Source organism: Homo sapiens, chromosome 5 (genome assembly GCF_000001405.40).
Source record: "Homo sapiens chromosome 5, GRCh38.p14 Primary Assembly".
Classification (NCBI taxonomy): Eukaryota; Metazoa; Chordata; class Mammalia; order Primates; family Hominidae; genus Homo; species Homo sapiens.
In genome coordinates, this window is record NC_000005.10 from 179,655,067 (window position 1) to 179,676,863 (window position 21,797).

At 50.1% G+C, this 21,797-nt stretch overlaps 1 long non-coding RNA gene across 2 annotated transcripts; it reads left to right on the forward strand.

Moving 5' to 3' along the window:
- Positions 1-2,695: 2,695 nt before the first annotated feature.
- LOC105377763 (uncharacterized) lies at positions 2,696-19,229 on the forward strand. 2 transcript variants are annotated; one of them, NR_134259.1, is made up of 4 exons: positions 3,040-3,415; positions 7,909-8,037; positions 9,257-9,351; positions 18,949-19,229. It is a non-coding gene; the product is annotated as an uncharacterized LOC105377763 (long non-coding RNA). The 2 variants fall into 2 exon arrangements; NR_134260.1 differs by lacking the exons at positions 7,909-8,037; positions 9,257-9,351 and adding an exon at positions 2,696-3,031 and having other exon boundaries at positions 3,241-3,415.
- The last annotated feature ends 2,568 nt before the right edge of the window (positions 19,230-21,797 follow it).

Below are 21,797 nucleotides of genomic sequence, written 5' to 3' on the forward strand. Positions count from 1 at the left end.
CATGCATTTTTGAATTGAGTTGTTCCATTAGTTGTTGGCAAATATTTTCCCTCATTCTGTGGGTGGCTCCTTACTTTTTTTTTTCTTTTTTCCTTTTTTTTTTTTTGTCTTTTGAGATGGAGTCTTGCTCCGTGTGTTCCCCAGGCTGGAGTGCAGTGGCAGGATCTGTGCTCACTGCAAGCTCCGCCTCCCGGGTTGACGCCATTCTCCCAACTCAGCCTCTCGAGTAGCTGGGACTACAGACGCCCGCCACCACGCCTGGCTAATTTTTTTTTGGATTTTTAGTAGAGACGGGGTTTCACCGTGTTAGCCAGGATGGTCTCGATCTCCTGAACTCGTGATGCGCCTGCCTCGGCCTCCCAAAGTGCTGGGATTACAGGCGTGAGCCACTGCGCCCGGCCACTTGTGTTTCTTTTCAAGAATGGACCCCATGGCAGACATCCATGAGTTTTCATGGTCAGAAATTGGTCTCATGCACACCCCAGCCAACCGAGGTGAGAGAAATGGCATTACAGTGATTGGCTTAGACACGTCAGGATATGTCCCTGAACCAGGACAAGAGGCACCTTCTCCAAGGGTGGATCCCAAAGAAAGTCAGAGGTCTTGGCAAAGAATGGGGAAAAGGGATTATGTAGGCAACCCAGTGTCTGCTACAGAATGAGCAGCGGAGAAGAAAGCAACCTGAAAGGCTGAGTAATTACAAAAAAAGACTAAATTAAATCCATACAAGAGCAAGTTTGCTCTGTTTCCACCTTCACTAGGAATGAGGGCTCAGAGCAGGGCATGCTGGGAAGTAGAAAATAAAGTTACCATTTTTCTGTTTCAGCCATAGCGTGTACATATTACCCTACTCTAGCCCACCCCCTTCTCTCACACACAGTAGTTGTTAAAATAAAAACTTGGCCAGGCGGGATGGTTCACCCCTGTAATCCCAGCACTTTGGGAGGCCTAGGTGGGCGGATCACGAGGTCAAGAGTTCGAGACCAGCCTGACCAACATGGTGAAACCCCATCTCTATTAAAAATACAAAAATTAGCTGAGTATGGTGGCACGCGCCTGTAATCCCAGCTACTCAAGAGGCTGAGGCAGAAGAATAGCTTGAACGCGTGAGGTGGAGTTTACAGTAAGCTGAGACTGTGCCATTGTACTCCAGCCTGGGCGACAAAGCGAGACTCCGTCTCTAAAATAAAATGAAATCAAATCAAATCTTGGGCTGGGAGGCCAAGATTATCTGTCCCGAAATTTGACAGATTATAATTATTTTTTAGAAGTGGAATCTTGCTGTGTCACGCAGGCTGGAGTCCAGTGGCACAATCACAGTTCACTGGAGCCTCCAACTCCTGGGCCCAAGCTATCCTCCCATCTCAACTTCCCAGCTGGCTGGGACCACAGGCAGGTGCCACCACACCCAAGTAATTATTTTTTAAGTATTTTTTAATTTTTTGTAGAGACGAAGACTCGTTTTGTTTTCTGGGTTTCTTTTTTTTTCTTCTTCTTCTTTTTTTGACAAGAGTTTCACTCTGTCGCCAGGCTGGAGTCAGTGGCACGATTTCGGCTCACTGCAACCTCCACCTCCCGGGTTCAGGCAATTCTCCTGCCTCAGCCTCCCAAGTAGCTGGGACTATAGGCGGGCGCCATCACACTAATTTTTGTATTTTTAGTAAAGACGGGGTTTCCCCATGTCGGCCAGGATGGTCTCGATCTCTTGACCACATGATCCACCCACCTGGGCCTCCCAGAGTGCTGGGATTACAGGCGTGAGCCACGGCGCCTGGCCCCCTGGGCTGGTCTTGAGGTCCTGGGCTCAAGTAAGCCTACCTCTGAGCCTTCCAAATTGTTGGGCTTATAGGCGTGAGCCACTGCACGGTCTCAAATAATTATTTTAGGGTTGAGTTTTTACTGAATCTGGTGAGTTTGACTAATGTAAGACTTCCCTTTGGCCCTGGGCAAGTATAAAAGATAAATTGAGGCCGGGCGCGGTGGCTCATGCCTGCAATCCCAGCAGTTTGGGAGGCTGAGGTGGGCGGTTCACCTGAGGTCAGGAGTTCGAGACCAGCCTGATCAACATGGAGAACCCCTGTCTCTACTAAAAATACAAAATTAGCCGGGCATGTGGTACATGCCTGTAATCCCAGCTACTCGGGAGGCTGAGGCAGGAGAATCGCTTGAACCCAGGAGGAAGAGGTTGCTGTGAGCCGAAAGTGCGCCATTGCACTCCAGCCTGGGCAACAAAAGAGAAACTCTGTCTCAAAAAAAAAAATTTTTTTTTTAATTAAAATTAAAAAAAAAAAAAGAAAGATAAAGCGAAGTCCATGTGTCAGGAGCAAGCACAGGACAAAGTCACACAGAGCGGTGTGAGAGGGAGGCTGGGAGGGCAGCCACAGCTGTGCGGGGTGGTCTGGAGAGGACATGGGGCAGCCACAGCTGTGCGGGGTGGTCTGGAGAGGACATGGGGCAGCCACAGCTGGGAGCGGGGGCAGGGGCTGGGGAGGAGAGGAGGAATGTGCAAGCTCAGCTGTGCAAGCTGGGGTCAATGGCTACATCAGAACCAGACCCCATTGCTGGTAGCTTCACCGTCTCGCTCTCATGGGGCCTCCCAGCTATCCCAAATCTCCAAGAAACAGACTCAGAGACCTGCGGTCAGAGGTCCAGCGAGGGGGAGAGCGGAAGTGAGCTCCAGGCCACGTACAACGGCAGTCCCGGTTCCCCGCCATGAGCACGACCTGTGTGAGAGCACAGGGTATCTGGGCAGAAGGAAAACTAGGGGAGCCTCATCCAGCGCTGGAGATGGAGAAGCTTTGGGCTTCTCGACGGCGAGGCACCCGGGGAACGGGGAGTCACTTAGAACCTCAAAGTAGCCTCGGGCGAGAACAAGCGAAGCAATTCCAAGCTCTACCAGGTCACGGAGGGCGCGAAACCCGCCCCGCGCTCCGGCCGGCCGGCAGGGGGCGCGCGCTCCCCGAACTCCCGCGCACCGCGGAGGAGGCGGCCCTGGCGCGGGGAAGCAGTGGGAAAATCGCAAGGAAGCCGGGTAAGGACCTTTCATTTTCAGCCCTGCTCTTTAAATACTAGACATACCGTCTGGCGCATGTCGAGGCGTGTATTATTTTGATCCAGTGCGCGTGCCGTATGTGACTTGGCTTGGCTTCCCCTGAAAGCAGCGGCTGTGGGGAGTTGATTCGGAAGTGAAGGGCCCTGGGCGACCCGGCGAGTAGAGGCAACACCAACACTCCTCCTTAGCGAGGGGTCTCCCCGCCGCGGTGGCTGCCCGGCCCCAAGGACAGGAGGGATTTGTGCACTGACTCCTGACCCCGTCCTCCAGCGCTGCTCTGAAGGGAGAGTCTGTGCAGTGGCACCTGCGCGAAGCTGGCCAAAGCCTGCCCAGACGGCTCACCTGTGCGGGATGGAACAAAAGGTGAGCCCAGGGGGCCTGATAAAATGACCTCAGTAGCCGCCTGTGGGAGGGGACCCTGAGGAAAGCACCACAGTGACTACCAAGCGCCTTATGTCAGGGCTATTTATGACAGAGGGAAATCGGTGCGTGTTTGAGATACATTCCGTGAAGTGGAATTGCCTGATCAGAGGGTGAAGGCACACGCAGTTTTGCTCCCCGTAGGAATTGCTCCATCGTGCATTTTCTTCAGCATTTATGTGAGTGCCCTCCCCCAGCCTTGCTGGCAGTGGATGTTGCAAACTCTTGGGTTTTTGCTAATCCGTCAAGAGAGCAGAGATCTCCTTTTTTTTTTTTTTTTTTTTTTTTTTTGAGGCGGATTCTCATCTCCCAGGCTGAAGTGCGGTGCTCACTGCAACCTCTGCCTCCCGGGTTCAAGCGATTCTCCTGTCTCAGCCTCCCAAGAAGCTGGGTATTACAGGCATGCACCACCACAACTGGCCAATTTTTGTATTTTTAGTAGAGACGGGATTTCACCATGTTGGCCAGGCTGGTCTTGAACTCCTGACCTTGTGATCCACCTGCCTCGGCCTCCCAAAGTGCTGGGATTACAGACATGAGCCATCGCCCCCGGCCTCTTTGTTTGTTTTTGAGACAGGGTCTTGCTCTGTCGCCCAGGCAGGAGTGCAGTGGCGCAATCTCGGCTCACTGCAACCTCTGCCTCCCGGGTTCAAGTGATTCTCCTGCCTCAGCCTCCCGAGTAGTTGGGACTACAGGTCCACGCCCAGATAATTTTTTGTATTTTTAGTAGAGACAGGGTTTCACCATGTTGGCCAGGATAGCCTCGATCTCTTGACCTCGTGATCCACCGGCCTCGGCCTCCCAAAGTGCTGGGATTACGGGCATGAGCCACCGTGCCTGGCCTTAATTTTTGTATTTTTAGTAGAGATGGGGTTTCACCATGTTGGCCAGGATGGCTCTTAGTTTATTTTTAATTTTTATTTTACATTTCTGTGATTAGGAGGAAGATTGAGCACCCTACCTTATACTCAAGGCTTTTCATTGCGGTTTTTTTTTTTTTTTTTTTTTTGGCCAGGGTTTCACTCTTGTTGCCCAGGCTGGAGAGCAATGGCGCCATCTCGGCTCACCACAACCTCAGCCTCCCCAGCTCAAGCGATTCTCATGCCTCAGGCTCCCGAGTAGCTGGGATTACAGGCATGCGCCACCATGCCTGGCTAATGTATTTTTAGTAGAGATGGGGTTTCTTCATGTTGGTGAGGCTGGTCTCGAACTCGCGACCTCAGGTGATCTGACTTCAGGTGATCTGCCGGCCTCGGCCCCCCAAAGTGAGCCACCATGCAAGCCACCGCACCCAGCCTCATTGCAGTATTAATTGTATTAACGAAAGACAGGAAACACAAAACCACAGTGGGGTACCACCTCACACCCATCAGGATGGCTAGTATTAAAGCCACAGAAAATAACAAGTGTTGGCTGGGCGCGGTGGTTCACGCCTGTAATCCCAGCACTTTGGGTGGCCAAGGCGGGCAGATCACCTGAGGTCAGGAATTCAAGACCAGCCTGGCTAACATGGTGAAACCCCCCACCGTCTCTACTAAAAAAAATACAAAAATTAGCTAGGTGTGGTGGCGGGCACCTGTAATCCCCACTACTCAGGAGGCTGAAGCAGGTGAATCACTTGAACCCGGGAGGCAGAGGTTGCAGTGAGCCAAGATCGTGCCATTCCACTCCAGCCTCGGTGACAAGAGCGAAACTCTGTCTCAAAAAAATAAAAAAAGAAAAAGAAAATAAGTGTTGTAAGGATGTGGAGAAACTGGAACCCTTGTGCACTGTTGGTGGGAATGGAAAAAGATACAGCTGCTGTGGAAAATGGTATGGAGGCTCCTCAAAATATTTAACACAGAACTATATGTAGTAATTCTGCTTCTGTGTATATACCCAAAAGAACTCAAAGCAGTTCTTCATTTATTTATGTATCTTTTTTTTTTTTTTTGAGACAGGGTCTCACTCTGTCACCTAGACTGGAGTGCGGTAGTACGATCATGGCTCACTGCAGCCTCGAACTCCTGGACTCAAGCCATCCTCCTGCCTCAGCCTCCCCAGTAGCTAGGACTATAGACATATACCACTGCATCTGGCTAATTATTTTATTTATTTATTTATTTATTTATTTAGAGACAGAAGCTCGCTCTGTTGCCCAGGTTGGAGTGCAGTGATGCAATCTCGGCTCACTGCAAGCTCCGCTTCCCGGGTTCCAGGGATCCTCCTGCCTCAGCCTCCCTAGTAGCTGGAACTACAGGCACCCACCACCACTCCCACTTGGCTAAGTTTTTGTGTTTTTAGTAGAGACGGAGTTTTACCATGTTAGCCAGGATGGTCTCGGTCTCCTGACCTCGTGATCTGCCCGCCTTGGACTCCCAAAGTGCTGGGATTACAGGCGTGAACCACTGCGCCCAGCCATTTTTTTTTTTTTTTTTTGAGAAGAAGTCTTGCTCTGTAGCGCAGGGCTGGAGTGCAGTGGTGCGATCTCAGCTTACCGCAGCCTCCACTTTCTCGGGTTCAAGTGATTCTTCTGCCTCAGCCTCCTAAGTAGCTGGGACTACAGGTGCACGCCACTGCACATGGCTAATTTTTTACATTTTTAGTGGAGACAGGGTTTCACAATGTTGGCCAGACTGGTCTTGAACTCCCAACCTCAGTAATCTGCCTGCCTCAGCCTCCCAAAATGCTAGGATTACAGGTGTGAACCACTGCGCCCATGCATCTGGCTAAATTTAATTTTTTTTTTTTTTAATAGAGACAGAGTCTCAATTTGTTGCCCAGGCTGGTCTCAAATTCCTGGGTTCAAATGATTCTCCTGCCTCAGGCTCTCAAAGTGCTGCGATTACAGGCATGACGCAGCTTTATTTATAATAGCCAAACCTGGGAACAACATAAATAATTTCCATCAACGGGTGAATGAATAAACAAATTGTAGTATTTATTAATTTATTATTATCTGAGACGGAGTCTTCCTCTGTTGCTCAGGCTGGAGCGCAGTGGCACGATCTTGGCTCACTGCAACCTCCGCCTCCTGGGTTCAAGCAACTCATGCCCCAGCCTCCAAAGTAGTGTGTGCCATCACACCTGTCTAATTTTTGTATTTTTACTAGAGATGGGTTTTCACCAAGTTGCCCAGGCTGGTCTCAAACTCCTGGCCTCACGTGATCCACTGGCCTTGGCCTCCCAAAGTGCTGGGGTTACAGGCGTGAGCCACTGTGCCCAGCCTTTTGTTGTTGTTGTTGTTTGAGACAGGGTCTCACTCTGTCGCCCAGGTTGGAGCATACTGGCAGGATCACAGCTCATTGCAGCCTTGACCTTCTGGACTCAAGCGATCCTCCCACCTCAGCCTCCCGAATAGCTGGGAGTACAGTCTTGTGCCATCATGCCTGGCTAATTTTTGTGTTGTTAGTAGAGTCAGGGTCTCACCATGTTACCCAGGCTGGTCTCAAACTCCTGACCTCAAGTGATTCACCCACCTTGGCCTCCCACAGTGCTGGGATTACAGGCATGAGCCACCGCACCTGGCCTCAAATGATTTTTCTGTATCTATTGAGATCGTATGGCTTTTCTCTTGTTTTCCTTTTGTTTCCTTTTTTTTTTTTTTAAGAGAGGGTCTTGTGTTGTTGCCCAGGCTGAAGTGCAGTGGTTCAATCATAGCTCACTGCAGCCTTGACCTCCTGTGCTCAAGTGATTCTTCCACGTCAGCCTCCCAAGTAGATGGGAGGCACATGCCACCATGCCCAGCTAATTTTTTTGTAGAGATGGGGTTTCGCCATGTTGTCCAGGCTGGTCTCAAACTCCTGGACTCAAGTGATCTGCCGACCTCATCCTCCCAAAATGCTGGGATTACAGGTGTGAGCCTCTGCGCCCAGCCTGCTTTTTCTCTTTTAATCTGTTTATGTATATATTATATTTATAGATTTTTTCCTAACATTGGTCACCTTTGTAGTCCTAGGATAAACTCAGCTTGCTCATGACAAATTGCCACTTCAATACATTGTTGAATTTGGTTTGCTAATAATTTGTAGAGTTTTTTGCATTTGGCTTTCTTGTTGCTGACTTCAAATTAAATTGCTTCTATCTTTCTGAGGGAACTGAGGGTGATTTTCTTTTCTTTTCTTTTTTTTTTTTTTGAGACAGAGTCTCGCTCCGTCACCCAGGCTGGACTGCAATGGCGCGATCTCAGCTCACTGCAACCTCTGCCTCCTAGGTTCAAGTGATTCTCCTGCCTCAGCCTCCTGAGCAGCTGGGACTGCAGGCACGCACCACCATGCCCAGCTAAGTTTTGTATTTTTAGTAGAGACGGGGTTTCACCATGTTGGTCAGGCTAGTCTTGAACTCCTGACCTCAGGTGATCTGCCTGCCTCAGCCTCCCAAAGTGCTTGGATTACAGAAGTGAGCCACCACGCCCAGCCAATGAAAAAAAAATTTTTTTTTCTTTTTCTTTGAGACAGAATTTCGCTCTTGTTGCCCACTGTTGTCCAGGCTGGAGTGCAATGGCACGATCTCAGCTCACCACAACCTCCGCCTCCTGGGTTCAAGTGATTCTCCTACCTCAGCCTCCTGAGTAGCTGGGATTACAGGTATGTGCCACCATGCCTGGCTAATTTTGTATTTTTAGTAGAGACGGGGTTTCTCCATGCTGGTCAGGCTGGTCTCGAACTCCCGACCTCAGGTGATCCGCCTGCCTCGGCCTCCGAAGGTTTTGGGATTACAGGTGTGAGCCACTGCCCCCAGCCTGAAAAAAATTTTATCATAGAAAATATCCAACCATAAACAAAATTAGTGAGAACAGTATTATAAACCCTCATGTACTCATCACCCAGTTCCTTTTTGTTTTTTTTTTAGATGGAGTCTCGCTCTGTCGCCACAGTGCAGTGGTGCTATCTGGGCTCACTGCAACCTCCATCTCCCGGATTCAAGCGATTCTCCTGCCTCAGCCTCCCGAGTAGCTGGGACTACAGGCACCTGCCACCACGTCCAGCTCATTTTTTTGTATTTTTAGTAGAGACGGGGCTTCACCATGTTGACTAGGATGGTCTCGATCTCCTGACCTCGTGATCCGCCTGCCTCGGCCTCCCAAAGTGCTGGGATTACAGGTGCTCATCATCCAGTTTCTATAATAATTGATGACCAAATTTTTTCCTATATAGACCCACCCATTTTCTCTACTGACTTCCCAGACTACTTGGAAACAAATGGCAGACATCATATCCCTTTATCTGTAAACACTCTAGTAATATCTTCAAAAGATAAGGATAAAAAAAACCTATAATCCTAATCTATACATGTCATGCATGCATCTAACAATACCGCAGTAGAAATCTAAGAATACTGCAATAGAAAATATTTGATCCAGTTGGGGACGGTGGCTCATGTCTGTAATCCCAGCACTTTTGGAGGCCGAGGCAAGCTGATCATGAGGTCGGGAGTTTGAGACCAGCCTGGCCAATATAGTGAAACCCCATCTCTACTAAAAAATACAAAAATTAGCTGGGCGTGGTGGCGTGCGCCTGTACTCCTGGCTACTTGGGAGGCTGAGGCAGGAGAATAGCTTGAGCCCAGGAGGCGGAGGTTGCAGTGAACCGAGACTGCGCCACTGCACTCCAGCCTGGGTGACAGAATGAGACTCTGTCTCAAAAAAAAGAAAAAAAAATATTTGGTCCATTTTCACTCTTCTCCAGTTGTCTTATGTGTTGCCTTTGTTGGTGGTATATGTTGTTCTGTTTTGTTAGGTTTGTTTGAATCAAGAGGCAAATGAAGACCTCGCATTGTGACTGGTTGATCTCTGTCTCCCCACAGGTCGGCTTGAGGTTTGCGAGTCCCAGCTCCCACTGCCCCTGCCACCTGCCTTTCCCTTCTCAGGACATACACAGGACTGGGAGAAAATAGACTAAGTATTTGATATTACAGTATTGTTAGGTTTTTATATGTGCGGTATCTTAGGAGGGAACAGAAAGCAGCAGACACACCACTGACGATGGCTTCCAGTGTGGCAGGGGCCAAAGCCCTTGCTCTGTGGCTCCAGGGGCAGCCTGTGCAGGCCCAGCCTGGGGCCACTCATGCTCCCCAGCCCCACACGAGGCCCATCCCGTCTCAGCATAGGCTTCCTTCTTTCCACTGTTCCTGGAGACCCAGCAGGCTGTCATGGGCCTTTGGTCCCTACACAGTCCACTCCAGTGGCCACCAGGCTTCTGCAGCCATCATTTCCCATGTGCACGTGGGAAAGAACTAGGCCAGGCTTCTAAGTTATCTAGACCTTCCTTTTTTTTTTTTTTTTTTTTTTTTTTTGAGACACAGTCTCACTGTGTCGCCCAGGCTGGAGTGCAAGTGGTACGATCTCAGCTCACTGCAACCTCTGCCTCCTGGGTTCAAGTGATTCTCTGCCTCAGCCTTCCAAGTAGCTGGGATTACAGGTGCACACCAACACACCCAGCTAATTTTTGTATTTTTAATAGCGATGGGGTTTCACCATGTTGGCCAGGATGGTCTCGAACTCCTGATCTCAAGTGATCCGCCCACCTCAGCCTCCCAAAATGTTTGGATTACAGGCATGAGCCACCACCCCTGGCCTGGACCCTCTTTTTGACATGTGTGAGCATAGGCAGCAAGCAAGGCCATGCAGAGAAGGGGTGCTTCCAGACTGCCCAGGCCAGGGGCATCATTAAGGGTGGGACTGTCTCGAGAGTGTCATAGGAGAGTTGAGACCAACACACAAGTGTTGGAGATGATGGTTGAGGCAGGAGCAAGGTTTTTTGGGGTTTTTAAGATGGGGTCTTGCTTGTAGCTCATAGCAATCATAGCTTACCGCAGCCTCAAACTGCTGGGATCAAGTGGTCCTCCCGACTCAGCCTTCAGAGTGACTAGGACTACAGGTGGGCACCACTGTGCCGGGCGAGTGTTAATTATTACCCTAGGTTTAAAAATATGCTTTGTACTGGGTTTGCATAGGCCATTTCCCCTCTGTCTGCAGGGTACTGATGTCCCCATCTCTCTGCATAGCTGCAAAGGGGACCAGGGAGGCATTGCTGTGGCAACCGCCATGGCAGGGTCAAGGAGCTCCTTGTGTGGCTTTCACACTTCTGACGGGCTGAGATCCAGATCCAGGCCCCAGACCTGTGGTAATGCTGCTCATCGAGCCACCACCTGGGCTGAGGAGCAGAAATGAGGCCCCCAGGTCAGAGCAGAGACCTGCCGGGGCCACCTCCATCATCAGCCCTGATTTGGGGCCACCCTCTCATGTCCCTCATCCTCCTGCCCAGTGAAGCAGTGGCTGCTCCAGCTGGAGCTCCAGGAGAGAGGGCTAGGCTATGCCTTGAACCAGAGCCTGGGTGATGAAAGGGCCCCAAAGTGGGACCAGCCTGACTGTCCCCTTCCATCAGGCAGAGAGGAAAAGCATGGCACTCCCCCGCTGGGAAATACCCTGCAGTCACAGGATGAACCGGCTAGATGTGTGGACATTGCTAGGTCTTTTTTTTTTTTTATTAGAGATGGGGTCTCGCTCGGTTGCCCAGGCTGGAGTACAGGGGCACAATCATGGCTCACTGCAGGCTCGAACTCTTGGGCTCGAGCCATCCTCCCATCTGAGGCTCCCAAGTAGCTGGGACCACAGCTATGTGCCACCATGTCTGGCAGGAGCAAGATTAAAGTGTATAGTGGGAAGCCATTCGGAGCTAAGCAAGATGCAGGCAGGAAAAGTAGAGAAGTGGGGACTGTGGTTGTGAACACTGTACTCCTGGCCAGACATGGGACAGGCAGGTAACTTTCTGGAGAACACCCTGCCAGCTGTAATCAGACACCCTGGGGCCCCTACGGAAAGGAGGGCACAGCTCCATCCTGGCCAACACAAGGCCAATGCATGGATCCTCCATGGGACCTGTGGCTGTGGCACAGTCGCATATGTTTTTCACCCTTTTTACCCTGCACACGTTCTCTCAAGCACCTTTTATTTTTATTTTTTTGAGACAGAGTCCTGCTCTTTTGCCCAGGCTGGAGTGCAGTGGTGTGATCATAGCTCACTGCAGCCTCAACCTCCCAGGTTCAAGCGATTTTCCTGCCTCAGCCTCCAGAGTAGCTGGGACCACAGGTGCATGCCACTACCTCTGGCTAATTAAAAAAATTTTTTTGTAAAGATGGAGTCTGGCCATGTTGCTCAGGCTGTTTTTTGTTGTTGTTGTTGTTTGTTTTTGTTTTTTTGAGATGGAGTCTTGCACTGTCGCCCAGGCTGGAGTGCAGTGACACAATCTCGGCTCACTGCAACCTCCACCTCCCGGGTTCAAGTGATTCTCCTGCCTCAGCCACCCAAGTAGCTGGGACTACAGGTGGATGCCATAACACCCGGCTAACTTTTGTATTTTTAGTAGAGATGGAGTTTCATCATGTTGGCCAGGCTGGTCTTGAACTCCTGACCTCAGGCGATCTGCCCGCCTCAGCCTACCAAAGTGCTGGGATTACAGACATGAGCCACTGCGCCCGGCCTCAAGGACTTCTGGGCTTTGCAGGGTCAGTTTTTCCTCTAAAGATTTGTGCTTCTTGTGCTTTTCTGGCTAATATTCTATTTTGGACAACCATCCCTGCACAATCGCCACTGACAATTTTTTTTTTTTTGAGACCGAGTCTCATTCTGTTGCCCAGACTGGGGTGCAGTGGTGTAATCTCGTCTTACTACAACCTCTGCCTCCCGGGTTCAAGCGATTCTCCTGCCTCAGCCTCCCGAGTTGCTGGGGCTACAGGTGTGCGCCACCTCGCCCAGCTAGTTTTTGTATTTTTAGTAGAGATGGGGCTTCACCAAGTTGCCCAGGCTAGTCTTGAACTCCTGACCTCAAGTGATCCACCCGCCTCCGTCTCCCAAAGTGCTGGGATTACAGGCATGAGCTGCCGCTCCTGGCCGCCACTGACAATTTTTACTGGTACTTGTTACAGTCCCAGACGCCACCTGTCACCTGTGTTAGGGGCTTCAGAGTGCCTAGCTGCAGGTTGAGGTCCTGGTCTCGTCACTGCTGCTTGCTGAGTCTGCTTCCGATGCATACGTCACATTTACTTCCCCACAGGCCATTCCTTAGCATCTCTTACTGCTTGGCCTCCTCCTTCGTCCCTGTGGCTGGTATAGCTCACTCCACATTCTCAAACGGTTTTAAAATGTTTTTCTTTTGGCTGGGCGCAGTGGCTCACATCTGTGATCCCAGCACTTTGGGAGGCCGAGGCAGGTGGATCATGAGATCAGGAGATCGAGACCATCCTGGCCAACACAGTGAAATGCCGTCTCTACTAAAAATACAAAAAATTAGCCAGGCGTGGTGGCGGGTGCCTGTAATCTCAGCTACTTGGGAGGCTGAGGCAGGAGAATCACTTGAATCTGGGAGGCGGAGGTTGCAGTGAGCTGAGATCACAGCACTGCACTTCAGCCTGGGTGACAGAGCGAGACTCTCTCAAAAACAAAACAAAATTTCTTTTTCTTTGATTTTCTTTTTGTAGAGATGGGAGTCTCATTATATTGCCCAGGCTGGTCTTGAACTTCTTGCTTCAAGCGATCTTCCTGCCTTAACCTCCCAAAGGGCTGGGATTACAGGCGTGAGCCACTGCACCTGGCCTAAAATATCTTTCTGTAATTCAATCTGTAGGTCAAACCTGCCACTCTAATGTAGTGGTAGAAACTGAATTTCAGTTAATTTGGAGGTTTTCCTGTCTTTCCCACAGGGGTATGGCACTGTCAGCGGAAGACTGTCAGATCTCTGCAGCATGACCCTCATCCTTGTTCCCAACCTTTTCTGTCAGTCACTGTCTGCCTCCCTTTCTTTGGTTGGCTGCCCATCAATGACCTATTATCATCATTGCCATAGATCCCTGAGAAGCACTCCCCCTCCCACAGTTGCCATTCCAATCTTGCTACACAGTATAAGAGCCCTCTTGGCTTCTGAGGGTTAAATGTTGCCATCCAGAATGGTTAAATGCCATTCCAGAATCGTGTCATCCCCAAGACACTAAGGAGCCAAGTTCCATGGCAGCATCTCCTAGCCACAGAGCACAGCCACCACCAGCTTTCTATGACACCAGTGCCCCCTCACGTCCACATTCTGCATTGCCTTAGTGAAGAGCGCCTCCTCTGGGCAGCTCCATGAAACACCTTCTGGTCTCATGTAATAAATCCGTTCTAACATTCCCACTTCCCTGAGCCTTCATCTCTACCTCATTAATGGTAGGCCACTATGGTGTCCAAGCTTCCGGGAGCCGTCTGGCGTGAAGACAAGCTCCAGCTGTCCTTTGACAGGACTTTAAATCCTGAGTCTTGGGGCATGCACCCTTGTCAATCAATGCCCCACCGGTCTTCTATTGCCCCCTCCCCGCCTGGATCTGGTACCCCACCTGGATCTGGTACCCTCATGATCGCTCCCGCAAGTGTTCTCCCAGGTCCTGCAACTTTTTGGGTGACTGAGTGATTTCCTCCTAGGGTAGGAAATATTTCACTGCTTGGGCTATGCTGAGATGTGATCCTGCTTGTTGGTCTGGAGGCAATGAGAGGAGGTGGATCTTGAGGAGGATTAGTGTTATCTTACAGGGTACTCACCTGTAACGGGGAGATCTCTGCACTGTCTCCAGGCTAGATGAAGCTGTCCTCCTCTGTCAATGGGAAGAAGGCAGTTTCTGCTGGCCAGGATGCTTCAGGGGACTCTGGGGGCTCAAGGTTCTTTGGTACATCCACCCAAACATCCCACGTCAGGCCTAGAGTCCCATTTATTCCTTTAAAAGCACCCAATGGGCCGGTTACTGTGGCTCATGTCTGTAATCCCAGAAGTTTGTGAGGCCATGGCAGGTGGATCAGTTGAGGCCAGGAGTTCGAAACCAGCCTGAGGAACATAGCAAGATCCCCGTCTCTACAAAAATAAAAATAATAGAAGCCCCCACTTTAGTACAGGAGACCTGCTGAGGATGCACAAGTGTCTTTTGCAGCTCTGCTGCTCTTGTGATGAAATATTGGTTCTCATTTTCAGCATGCTCTGCCTCCTGGCCACGGAAGCAAGGTTTTCTTTACATGTTGTCTTGGGAGAGTTCCTGCCTTTCACAGCATACTCTGAGTAGATAGCAGGCTGAACTGCATCTTTCATTCTCTTGCTTCAAAGCTGCTAAGGTGATTTAGAAAAGCTAGCCACCTCCATAATCCTTGCAACAGCAGCTGCTTCCACATCTTTCAAGTGACAAAGCTACTGCATAAGCCAAGCTTTCTCTTCAACTTCTATCTCCTTATCTACCACAGGTAAGAGTCTCATGCTTCAGGACACAAGGTTATCACCAACTGTGTGTGTGTGTGTGTGTGTGTCTTTGTTGCCTTCCGAATGGTAAGTGATCTACTTTTAGATTCCTATCGCTAGGTCTGTCTTCTAGTGCTACCTCTATTACTCATTGCCTTAGCTTGAATCCTCACAAAAACAGAGCTTGATCCTGGAACTTCGGCATAGTTAACTTGGGACATTCCAGGAAACTGTAATCCATGTAATTCCATGCCTATAATCCCAGCACTCTGGGGGCCAAGGTGGGTGAATCAGTTGAGGCCAGGAGTTTGAGACCAGCCTGGTCAACATGGGGAGAGAGATTGGGAAGAGTGACCCAGGGTACAGAACCATGAGCCACAGCTGCAGCTTCAGTCAGAGCAGGGCTGACCAGATATAACCAGAAGTCCCAACAGCATCCTGGACACCTCTCCTGCCTCCTAAGGGTGCAGAAATCTGTGACAATGGCTAAGCAGTATCTGCTCCTCTGGATTCAGGTGCCTATCTCTTGTGGAGCTTTGTTCATTCTAGAAGTACTTGGAGAGGTCCAAGCATCGTGCCTCACGCCTGTAATCCCAGCACTTTGGTGGCCAAGGTGGGCGGATCAGTTGAGGTCAGGAGTTTGAGACCAGCCCGGTCAACATGGCAAAACCCCACCTCTGCTAAAAACACAAAAATTAGCCAATCGTGGTCGTGCAGACCTGTAATCCTAGCTACTTGGGAGGCTGAGGTAGGAGAATCACTTGAACTCGGGAGGCAGAGGTTGCAGTAAGCCGAGATTGCGCCACTGCACTCCAGCTTGGGCAACAGAGTGAGACTACGTCTCAAAGAAAAAATAGGCTGGGCGCGGTGGCTCACGCCGGTAATCCCAGCACTTTGGGAGGCTGAGACGGGTGGATTATGAGGTCAGGAGTTCGAGACCAGCCTGACCAATATGGTGAAACCCCGTCTCTACTAAAAATACAAAAATTAGTCCAGCATGGTAGTGTGTGCCTGCAGTCCCAGATACTTGGGAGGCTGAGGCAGGAGAATAGCTTGAACCTGGGAGGCGAAGGTTGGAGTGAGCTGAAATTGTGCCACTGCACTCCAGCCTGGGCGACAAAGTGAGACTCCATCTCAAAATAAATAAAAAAATAAAAATAAAAATAGCAATACAACTATTTGGAGAGGGCCAAATAAGTGGGGAGCACTTCTCCACACTGAGATACAGGCGGGAACAGAACAACAAACCCCATAGAGCTTATGTTTTAGTTGGAGGAGACTAAGAATAAATACAATATGTAGTAGGTCAAGTGTTAATGGGTGCTAGAAACAAGAAGTGGGGGCCAGGCACGGTGGCTCACACCTGTAATCCCAGTACTCTGGGAGGTCGAGGTGGGTGGATCACCTGAGATAAGGGGTTCAAAACCAGCCTGGCCAACATGGTGAAACCCCATCTCTACCAAAAATACAAAAATCAGCTGGGCATGGTGGCGGACACCTGTAATCCCAGCTAGTCAGGAGGCTGAGGCAGGAGAATTGCTGCAATCCAGGAGGCAGAAGTTGCAGTGAGCTGAGATCATGCCACTGCATTCCAGCCTGGGTGACAGAGTGAGACTGCATCTCAAAAAAAAAAAAAAAAAAAGGGCCAGGCGTGGTGGCTCACGCCTGTAATCCCAACACTTCGGGAGGCTGAGGCAGGCGGGTCACGAGATCAGGAGATGGAGACCATCCTGGCTAACACAGTGAAACCCGTCTCTACTAAAAATACAAAAAAAAAATTAGCTGGACGTGGTGGCGGGCGCCTGTAGTCCTAGCTACTCAGGAGGCTGAAGCAGGAGAATGGCGTGAACCCGGAGGTGGAGCTTGCAGTGAGCCGAGATCACACCACTGCACTCCAGCCTGGGCGACAGAGCGAGACTCCGTCTCAAAAAAAAAAAAAAAAAAACAAAAGAAAACATGAAGTGGGAAGGGAGGATACATTGTGCACATACCTCAAAGAAATGAGAGTGAATGAAACTGGCAAGACACTGGGAGGGCACACCTGTGAGGTAAATCAGAGGGAAATGAGAAGAGCATGGTGCCCTAGAAACCAAGTGAAGCCAGGGTTTCAAGGAGGAGGGGTCAACTCACGAGACGCTGCTGATGCACTGCGATGAGGATAGAAAACTAGGCAGAAGCCTTAACCACAGGGAGGGCACAGCATCCTTGACAAGGGCAGGCGGGGGACAGTGGGACGTGAGAAATCTGAAGTTCAAGGTAGACCAGGTGCAGTGGCTCATGCCTGTAATCCCACTACTTTAGAAGGCCAAGGTGAGAGGATCACTTGAGCCCAGGAGTTCGAGACCAGCCTGGGCAACATAACGTAGTGAGACCCCCTCATCTCTTCTTCCTTTTTTTTTTTTTTTTTCTTTAGACGGAGTCTCGCTCTGTCGCCTAGGCTGGAGTGCAGTGGTGCGATCTCGGCTCACTGCAACCTCCGCCTCCCAGGTTCAAGCGATTCTCCTGCCTTAAACTCCCAAGTAGCTTCTACAGGCGCGTGCTACCACACCCGGCTAATTTTTGTATTTTTAGTAGACGGGGTTTCACAGTGTTAGCCAGGATGGTCTCCATCTCCTGATCTCGTGATCCGCCCACCTCAGCCTCCCAAAGTGTTGGGATTACAGGCGTGAGCCACCATGCCTGGCCTTTTTTTTTTTTTTTTTTTTGAGATGCAGTCTCACTCTGTCACCCAGGCTGGAATGCAGTGGCATGATCTCAGCTCACTGCAACCTCTGCCTCCCAGGTTCAAGCGATTCTCTCGCCTCAGCCTCCCGAGTAGCTTGGACTACAGGCACACACCACCATGCCTGGCTAATTTTTTTTTTTTTTTTTTTTTTTTTTGAGACAGAGTCTGGCTCTGTCACCCAGACTGGAGTGCAGTGGCGCAATCTCGTGCAATCTCGGCTCACTGCAACCTCTGCCTCCCAGGTTCAGGCGATTCTCCTGCCTCAGCCTCCTGAGTAGCTGGGACTAGAGGCGGGTGCCACCACACCCAGCTAATTTTTGTATTTTTAGTAGAGATGGGGTTTCACCATATTGCTCAGGCTGGTCTTGAACTCCTGACCTCATGATCTGTCTGCCTCAGCCTCCCAAAGTGCTGGGATTACAGGTGTGAGCCACCATGCCCGGCGATGCCTGGCTAATTTTTGTATTTTCAGTAGAGACGGGGTTTTACCATATTGGCCAGGTGGCTCTGAAACTCCTGACCTCAAGTGATCTGCCCGCCTTGGCCTCCCAAAGTGTTGGGATTACAGGCATGATCCACCACGCCTGGACTTTTTTTTCCTTTCTTCTTCTTTTTTTTTTTTTTTGAGATGGAGTCTCACTGTCGCCCAGGCTGGAGCGCAGTGGTGCGATCTCGGCTCACTGCAACCTCTGCCTCCAGGGTTCAAGCAATTCTCCTGCCTCAGCCTCCTGGGTAGCTGGGATTACAGGCGTGTGCCACCACACCCAGCTAATTTTTGTATTTTTAATGAAGACGGGGTTTCACCATGTTCAGGCTGGTCTTGAACTCCTGACCTCGTGATCCTCCCACCTCAGCCTCCCAAAATGCTGGGATTACAGGCGTGAGCCACTGTGCCTGGCCTTTTTTTTTTGTAGAGACAAGAATTCACTTTGTTGCCCAGGCTGTTCTCAAATTCCTGGCATCAAGCGATCTTCCTGCCTTGGCCTCCCAAAGTGCCAGGATTATAGGCGTGAGCCACCACGCTTGGCCCAAGACCCCCAGGTCTACAAAAAACAAAAAACTAGGCTGGGCACGGCGATTCACACCTGTAATCCCAGCACTTTGGGAGGCCAAGGCAGGCAGATCACCCGAGGACAGGAGTTCAAGATCAGCCTGGCCAATATGGTGAAACCCCATCTCTACTAAAAATACAAAAAATTAGGCAGGCGTGGTGGTACATGCCTCTAGTCCCAGCTACTTGGGAGGCTGAGGTGGGAGAATCACTTGAGCCCAGGAGTTTGAGACTCAGTGAGCCATGATCACACCACTGCGCTCCAGCCTGGGTGACACAGCCAGACCCCATCTCTAAAAAAGAAAAAGAAGTTGAAGGGGGTTAAGAGCAAACAGGGAAGGGAGGAATTGGGGATGTGAATATAAGCAACTTTTTGGAATTTAGTTATAAAGGGAAGCAAAGAAATGACACAGTAGCTGGAAGGGGAATGTGGCACCAAGAAAAGACTATTTTGTCTCACTCTGTTGCCCAGGCTGGAGTACAATGGCATGATCATGGCTCACTGCAACCTCCGCCTCCAGGGTTCAAGCAATTCTCCCGCCTCAGAGTCCTGAGTCGCTGGAACTACAGATGCACACCACCATGCCTAATTTTTCTACTTCTAGTAGAGATGAGGTTTCACCATGTTGGTCAGACTGGTCTTGAACTCCTGACCTCAGATGATCTGCCCGCCTTGGCTTCCCAAAGTGCTGGGATTACAAGCATGAGCTACTGTGCCCGGCCTTTTTTATTTTTTTGAGATAGAGTTTTGCTGTTGTTGCCCAGGCTGGAGTGCAATGGCATGATCCTGGCTCACTGCAACCTCAGCCTCCCAGGTTCAAGTGATTCTCCTGTCTCAGCCTCCTGAGTAGCTGGGATTACAGGCGCCTGCCACCATGCCCAGCTAACTTTTGTATTTTTAGTAGATATGGGGTTTCACCACGTTGGCCAGGCTGGTCTCAAACTCCTGACCTCAAGTGATCCACCTGCCTCAGCCTCCCAAAGTGTTGGGATTACAGGCGTGAGCCACCACGCCTGGCTTTTTTTTTTTTTTTTTTTTTTGAGACAGGGTATTATTATGTCAGCAAGGCTGGAGTGCAGTGGCACTATCACGGCTCACTGCAGCCTTGACCTCCCCAGGTTTGTGATCCTTCCACCTCAGCCTCCAGAGTAGCTGGAAATACAGGCGTGCGCCACCACACCCAGCTAATTTTTTACTTTTTGGAAAGATGGGGTTTCACCATGTTGTTCAGGCTGGTCTGACACTCCTGGGCTCAAGCAATCCTCCCACCTTAGCCTCCCAAACTGCTGGGATTACAGGCATGAACCACCGTGCCCAGCAAGAAAAGATTTTTTTCCAAGATAGAAGACCAAGTGAGATCCTCACTTACGCTTCTCTTCATCTCTCCTTTTTTTTTTTTGAGACGGAGTCTCGCTCTGTTGCCCAATCTGCAATGCGTGGCACAATCTCAGCTCACTGCAACGTCTGCTTCCCAGGTTCAAGAAATTCTCCCACCTCAGCCTCCCGAGTAACTGGGATTACAGGCTTGTGCCACAACACCTGGCTAATTTTTGTATTTTTAGTAGAGACGGGGTTTCACCATGTTGGCCAGGCAGGTCTCGAACTCCTGACCTCAGATGATCCGCCTGCCTTGGCCTCCCAAAGTGCTGGGATTACAGGTGTGAGCCACCACACCTGGCCCTCATCTCTCCTCTTGCTTGACAAACCTACACAGCCTTTTTGACCTGCCTCCTCAAACCCAGAAATATTTTTGCAAAGCTCTATTCCCCAGAGGATTCTGAGCTGTAGGAGGTGAAAGCCAGGGTCCTTTGTTCCTGCTTTCTTTGTTCCGACTTTATGCTCTGTGGCTTTCATCTCCTGGGGCAATGAGTTGGGCTGCCCTTTGGCAGGGCTCAGGACCAGGGTGTGAAATTCTAGAGCAGAAAGAACAAAGTTAGATATTTCAAAATATCATCCTGCTCCTTTTATTTCAGGCCCTTGATCCACTTGGATGCCCCTTTCTTTTTTTATTTATTTTTTATTTTTGACAGTCTCGCTCTGTCGCCCAGGCTGCAATGGTGCGATCTCAGCTCCCTGCAACCTCCACCTCCCAGGTTCAAGCAATTCTCCTGCCTCAGCCTCCCAAGTAGCTGGGATTACAGGCGCCTGCTACCACACCCAGCTAACTTTTTGTATTTTTTTTAGTAGAGATGGGGTTTTGCCATGTTGGCCAGGCTGGTCTCGAACTCCTGACCTCAGGTGATCCACCCACCTCAGCCTCCCAAAGTGCTGGGATTACAGACGTGAGCCACCGCATCTGACCTGTAGATGAACCTTTCTAAACAGGGCCCGCACTGGGCTGTGGGACTCCCTGCCTTCTGCAGGTTTGGTGGGGCAGATACCTTTCTCCACCCTAGGACTGTATTTGTTTTCAAGTAGTCTGGCCAAAGCAATATTCCCTAAACTTTAGGCATTCTTGGATCCCTTTATGAGTTTTGCTATTTTGGCATGCTACATGTAAGTTTTGCTTAATGTTTTTATGTAAAGCATCTTCCTCCTTTTACTTCTTTTATTGTGATAAAACTCATATAAAATTGACCGTTTTGAAGTGTACCATTCAGTGACTTTTATTACAATGTTGCAAAACTATCACCACTATAGTGCCAATTTCTCATCAGCCCAAAAGGAAGCCCCCTTGTGTTTACACACACACACACACACACACACACACACACAAACTGTGTCCTCCCATCCCTTGGTAACCTAATCTGTTTTTTGTTTTTGTTTTTGTTTTGAGACAGAGTCTCACTTTGTCATCCAGGCTGGAGTGCAGTGGCGCGATCTTGGCTCACTGCAACCTCCACCTCTCCGGTTCAAGTGATTTTCCTGCTTCAGCCTCCCAAGTAGCTGGGATTACAGGCGTCTGCCATCATGCTTGGCTAATTTTTGTATTTTTAGTAGAAATAGGGTTTCACCATGTTGGCGGCCAGGTTGGTGTCGAACTCCTGACCTCAGGTGACCCACCTGCCTTGGCCTCCCAAAGTGCTGGGATTACAGGTGTGAGCCACTGTGCCCGGCTGGATTTTAAAATTTTCTTTATTTTTTTTTTGAGACAGAGTCTGGCTCTGGAGTGCTGTGGTGTGATGCTGGCTCACTGCATCCTCTGCCTCCCAGGTTCATGCGATTCTCCTGTCCCAGTCTCAGGAGTAACTCGGACTGTAGGGCGCATGCCACCAAGCCCAGCTAATTTTTTTTTTTTTTCCTTTGAGACAGAGTCTCACTCTGTCGCCCAGATTGGTGTGCAGTAGTGTGATCTCGGCTCACTGTAACCTCCACCTCCC